Genomic DNA, 7,182 nt, shown 5'->3' with positions numbered 1-7,182 from the left:
GAATGGAACCAAGTTGGAAAACACTCTGCAGGATATTATCCAGGAGAACTTCCCCAATCTAGCAAGGCAGGCCAACGTTCAGATTCAGGAAATACAGAGAACGCCACAAAGATACTCCTCAAGAAGAGCAACTCCAAGACACATAATTGTCAGATTCACCAAAGTTGAAATGAAGGAAAAAATGTTAAGGGCAGCCAGAGAGAAAGGTCGGGTTACCCTCAAAGGAAAGCCCATCAGACTAACAGCGGATCTCTCGGCAGAAACTCTACAAGCCAGAAGCGAGTGGGGGCCAATATTCAACATTCTTAAAGAAAAGAATTTTCAACCCAGAATTTCATATCCAGCCAAACTAAGCTTCATAAGTGAAGGAGAAATAAACTACTTTATAGACAAGCAAATGCTGAGAGATTTTGTCACCACCAGGCCTGCCCTAAAAGAGCTCCTGAAGGAAGCGCTAAACATGGAAAGGAACAACCGGTACCAGCCGCTGCAAAATCATGCCAAAATGTAAAGACCATCGAGACTAGGAAGAAACTGCATCAACTAATGAGCAAAATCAACAGCTAACATCATAATGACAGGATCAAATTCACACATAACAATATTAACTTTAAATATAAATGGACTAAATTCTGCAATTAAAAGACACAGACTGGCAAGTTGGATAAAGAGTCAAGACCCATCAGTGTGCTGTATTCAGGAAACCCATCTCACGTGCAGAGACACACATAGGCTCAAAATAAAAGGATGGAGGAAGATCTACCAAGCCAATGGAAAACAAAAAAAGGCAGGGGTTGCAATCCTAGTCTCTGATAAAACAGACTTTAAACCAACAAAGATCAAAAGAGACAAAGAAGGCCATTACATAATGGTAAAGGGATCAATTCAACAAGAGGAGCTAACTACCCTAAATATTTATGCACCCAATACAGGAGCACCCAGATTCATAAAGCAAGTCCTGAGTGACCTACAAAGAGACTTAGACTCCCACACATTAATAATGGGAGACTTTAACACCCCACTGTCAACATTAGACAGATCAACGAGACAGAAAGTCAACAAGGATACCCAGGAATTGAACTCAGCTCTGCACCAAGCAGACCTAATAGACATCTACAGAACTCTCCACCCCAAATCAACAGAATATACATTTTTTTCAGCACCACACCACACCTATTCCAAAATTGACCACATAGTTGGAAGTAAAGCTCTCCTCAGCAAATGTAAAAGAACAGAAATTATAACAAACTATCTCTCAGACCACAGTGCAATCAAACTAGAACTCAGGATTAAGAATCTCACTCAAAGCCGCTCAACTACATGGAAACTGAACAACCTGCTCCTGAATGACTACTGGGTACATAACGAAATGAAGGCAGAAATAAAGATGTTCTTTGAAACCAACGAGAACAAAGACACCACATACCAGAATCTCTGGGACGCATTCAAAGCAGTGTGTAGAGGGAAATTTATAGCACTAAACGCCTACAAGAGAAAGCAGGAAAGATCCAAAATTGACACCCTAACATCACAATTAAAAGAACTAGAAAAGCAAGAGCAAACACATTCAAAAGCTGGCAGAAGGCAAGAAATAACTAAAATCAGAGCAGAACTGAAGGAAATAGAGACACAAAAAACCCTTCAAAAAATCAATGAATCCAGGAGCTGGTTTTTTGAAAGGATCAACAAAATTGATAGACCGCTAGCAAGACTAATAAAGAAAAAAAGAGAGAAGAATCAAATAGACACAATAAAAAATGATAAAGGGGATATCACCACCGATCCCACAGAAATACAAACTACCATCAGAGAATACTACAAACACCTCTACGCAAATAAACTAGAAAATCTAGAAGAAATGGATACATTCCTCGACACATACACTCTCCCAAGACTAAACCAGGAAGAAGTTGAATCTCTGAATAGACCAATAACAGGCTCTGAAATTGTGGCAATAATCAATAGTTTACCAACCAAAAAGAGTCCAGGACCAGATGGATTCACAGCCGAATTCTACCAGAGGTACAAGGAGGAACTGGTACCATTCCTTCTGAAACTATTCCAATCAATAGAAAAAGAGGGAATCCTCCCTAACTCATTTTATGAGGCCAGCATCATTCTGATACCAAAGCCGGGCAGAGACACAACCAAAAAAGAGAATTTTAGACCAATATCCTTTATGAACATTGATGCAAAAATCCTCAATAAAATACTGGCAAACCGAATCCAGCAGCACATCAAAAAGCTTATCCACCGTGATCAAGTGGGCTTCATCCCTGGGATGCAAGGCTGGTTCAATATACGCAAATCAATAAATGTAATCCAGCATATAAACAGAGCCAAAGACAAAAACCACATGATTATCTCAATAGATGCAGAAAAAGCCTTTGACAAAATTCAACAACCCTTCATGCTAAAAACTCTCAATAAATTAGGTATTGATGGGACGTATTTCAAAATAATAAGAGCTATCTATGACAAACGCACAGCCAATATCATACTGAATGGGCAAAAACTGGAAGCATTCCCTTTGAAAACTGGCACAAGACAGGGATGCCCTCTCTCACCGCTCCTATTCAACATAGTGTTGGAAGTTCTGGCCAGGGCAATCAGGCAGGAGAAGGAAATAAAGGGTATTCAATTAGGAAAAGAGGAAGTCAAATTGTCCCTGTTTGCAGACGACATGATCGTTTATCTAGAAAACCCCATTGTCTCAGCCCAAAATCTCCTTAAGCTGTTAAGCAACTTTAGAAAAGTCTCAGGATACAAAATCAATGTACAAAAATCACAAGCATTCTTATACACCAACAACAGACAAACAGAGAGCCAAATCATGAGTGAACTCCCATTCACAATTGCTTCAAAGAGAATAAAATACCTAGGAATCCAACTTACAAGGGATGTGAAGCACCTCTTCAAGGAGAACTACAAACCACTGCTCAAGGAAATAAAAGAGGACACAAACAAATGGAAGAACATTCCATGCTCATGGGTAGGAAGAATCAATATCGTGAAAATGGCCATACTGCCCAAGGTAATTTACAGATTCAATGCCGTCCCCATCAAGCTACCAATGACTTTCTTCACAGAATTGGAAAAAACTACTTTAAAGTTCATATGGAACCAAAAAAGAGCCCGCATCGCCAAGTCAATCCTAAGCCAAAAGAACAAAGCTGGAGGCATCACACTACCTGACTTCAAACTATACTACAAGGCTACAGTAACCAAAACAGCATGGTACTGGTACCAAAACAGAGATATAGATCAATGGAACAGAAGAGAGCCCTCAGAAATAATGCCGCATATCTACAACTATCTGATCTTTGAGAAACCTGAGAAAAACAAGCAATGGGGAAAGGATTCCCTATTTAATAAATGGTGCTGGGAAAACTGGCTAGCCATATGTAGAAAGCTGAAACTGGATCCCTTCCTGACACCTTATACAAAAATCAATTCAAGATGGATTAAAGATTTAAACGTTAGACCTAAAACCATAAAAACCCTAGAAGAAAACCTAGGCATTACCATTCAGGACATAGGCGTGGGCAAGGACTTCATGTCCAAAACACCAAAAGCAATGGCAACAAAAGCCAAAATTGACAAATGAGATCTCATTAAACTAAAGAGCTTCTGCACAGCAAAAGAAACTACCATCAGAGTGAACAGGCAACCTACAACATGGGAGAAAATTTTCACAACCTACTCATCTGACAAAGGGCCAATATCCAGAATCTACAATGAACTCAAACAAATTTACAAGAAAAAAACAAACAACCCCATCAAAAAGTGGGCAAAGGACATGAACAGACACTTCTCAAAAGAAGACATTTATGCAGCCAAAAAACACATGAAGAAATGCTCATCATCACTGGCCATCAGAGAAATGCAAATCAAAACCACTATGAGATATCATCTCACACCAGTTAGAATGGCAATCATTAAAAAGTCAGGAAACAACAGGTGCTGGAGAGGATGTGGAGAAATAGGAACACTTTTACACTGTTGGTGGGACTGTAAACTAGTTCAACCATTGTGGAAGTCAGGGTGGCGATTCCTCAGGGATCTAGAACTGGAAATACCATTTGACCCAGCCATCCCATTACTGGGTATATACCCAAAGGACTATAAATCATGCTGCTATAAAGACACATGCACACGTATGTTTATTGCGGCACTATTCACAATAGCAAAGACTTGGAACCAACCCAAATGTCCAACAATGATAGACTGGATTAAGAAAATGTGGCACATATACACCATGGAATACTATGCAGCCATAAAAAATGATGAGTTCATGTCCTTTGTAGGGACATGGATGAAATTGGAAACCATCATTCTCAGTAAACTATTGCAAGAACAAAAAACCAAACACCGCATATTCTCACTCATAGGTGGGAATTGAACAATGAGATCACATGGACACAGGAAGGGGAATATCACACTCTGGGGACTGTGGTGGGGTCGGGGGAGGGGGGAGGGATAGCATTGGGAGATATACCTAATGCTAGATGACACGTTAGTGGTGCAGCGCACCAGCATGGCACATGTATACATATGTAACTAACCTGCACAATGTGCACATGTACCCTAAAACTTAGAGTATAATAACAAAAAAAAAAACATTAAAAATAAAAAAAATAAAAAAAAAGAAGAAAACATAGATAAGATTGCGGGAAAATTGGAAGCTAATTCATAGTGTGGCTTGTATATTATTTGAAGCAGAAGGACAGAATTAAAGCTGCCCAAACCAAATTAAGCCAAAACCAAAACCCAAACAAAGTAACGCTCAATTGAACCATTTTAGTTGTTACTGTCCATCTTAAGAATACATTCATTATAGCTTTCTTCTCAGAAGAACCTCTGGACAGTGTTTTTGGTTCTAATATAATTGTAGAAAGAATGTTGTAAATATACAGTGAATATCCCACAGACCTTCCTATTTTAGTCCCAGAGGCCCTCTCTGCCCCAGGCTGGGTCCTCCTGGTCAGGCTCTGGATAGTCCTGGTAATAGTAATGCCACTATTTCTGTTATGTTGTAAAATAGCAATAAATTTAAAGAGTTAAATTTGAATCTGATTCACTGATTTGTTTTTTGAGACAGGGTCTTACTCAGTTGCCTCGGCTGGAGTGCAGTGGGTTGATGAGAGCTCACTGCAGCCTCCAACTCCTAACCTCAAGGGATCCTCCCACCTCAGGCTCCAGAATAGCTGGGACTACAGGCATGCCACCACAACTGGCTAATTTTTATATATTATTTTTGGTAGAGACTGGGTCTTGCTGTGTTGCTCAGGCTGGTCTTAAGTTCCTAGCTTCAAGCAATTCTCCCACCTTGTTCTCCCAAAAGTGCTGGGATTACAGGCATGAGTCACGGTGTCCTGGCCTAAAGTCTTTCTTTTAAGAAAGAAAGAGAGAGTGAATATTCTCACTTGTGTGCTAAATACTTTGTATAAGAGACCTTACCTGTATGTATGAATATATATGTCTTTTCAATGACCTTATCGTGTTTGTTCTGTCTTGAAATTATTTTCCTTTCCTCTGGTCATGCACACAAATCTGTACAGCAATCCAAAAGAATGCTTGTCTGAAGAGAGGTTCATGCAAACTGGTGTAGAGTAAAGTATCAGGAAGTGGAGACAGGTTTTTGGAATCAATGAGGACATGAATGTGAATTAATTACTATAAATTAGCACAGGCTCATAGACCAGGACTCAAATAAATCAAGCTGATGCAATGAGGAATTTAATAGAATATAAAATATGATCCGCAATGGTAGTATGTATGGTATTTGTTTGGCTCCTGATTTTATATCATGATTTTATGATATAAAGGCCTGGAAGGGCTGGTTAAAAAGTTTTGAACTTGTGTGAATTTTTGCTGAGTTGAAGTTTCTGGACTAATTCACAATGGCTTCTACTAGAACATTCTTTCTGGAGTATAATGATGTTTGCAGATAAATACTGCTTCTCCTTACACTTGTGAATGCTAGTAAGCCTGACAAGAGAGTCCCTTATTTAGGTGCCTATCATAGTATACCAAATGTCATTCTAGAAACCCTGGGTACTCTATAAAAGCCTTATGTCCCTCAAAATGTCAGGAGATTCTGTGTGGGATTAATTGAATTAAGCATGAGGCTAAAGACAGCTATTTGATACTAAAATTGAAGTAAATATTAAGGACTATTTTTCTCCTTTATTAATCTTTGTTCCCTGCATTCTCAGGGAAGCCAAACACATCCCTCACAGGGTCAGGTACTATTTTATAAGGTAAGAGTAGAGGGAAAATATGTATAGATTGAGGCTTGGAGTCATGAGAATAAAATTGCAATGCGAGGCAGAGGTAGTGAACCTTTATTTTCCTCTGCGTTTTGTTAGCAGCAAGTTGTCAAGGGGCACGTTCAAGACACATTAGTTTGAGAAAGAACAAATCAGACGAAAAGATCTAGTGTCAGATATAAATTAAAAGCTGTTTCTGTAAGTTTTAAGTGTCTTTCTCTCTCTTATAAGGAAGATTGTAGATTATTATTTTTTAACTCAAATCTGAAGTTTGGCATTTGTGTCTCTGAAATCCCAGATCATTTATTATAACTTTTCTTTTTTGAGGTATTAGAATAAAGCTCTGAAGGACAGTGATAATGCAGGTGCTGTCTAAGCCTCTGGGGACTGGGAATAGTATGGAGTGATTTAGGGGCAACCAGACAATGCTTCATTACCTGAGAAACTGACCCTTCTCCGATCTGCTGTAAATGAGATCCGAAAACTTTCTCCATCCTATTATCTTGTCAATTCCTAGCATCAGTTTCTAACAAGAGAGTTGAAATGCAATATAGCTTTAGTTGGGAAAAAAAAGTACTTAGGATTTAGTGGACTGTAACTTGGCTGCAAATCCAAATGGATAATATTTAGCTTGTAATATGATTTTCTTCATGCAGATTGCAGTGTTTAGATCTTGTAATGAAACCCATGTTTCTTTGTATCAGTGATTCTCAAATGGAAAACATTGGAGAAATGCAAGATGGACTTAAAAGGGGTATCTCTGGCACACCTATGTATGAACATCGACCTTTTCCAGTGTGAAAATTGAATATTTTCTTTCATGGAAATTAATCTTATTTTGTCACTTGTATCTATTTACTGTACTGTGCTGTTTGGAAGCTTGTGCTATCAAACTTCTGCTTCTCCTTGT

The sequence above is a fragment of the Homo sapiens genome, chromosome 14 (assembly GCF_000001405.40).
Source record: "Homo sapiens chromosome 14, GRCh38.p14 Primary Assembly".
NCBI lineage: Eukaryota > Metazoa > Chordata > Mammalia > Primates > Hominidae > Homo > Homo sapiens.
This window is presented reverse-complemented; position numbering follows the sequence as displayed.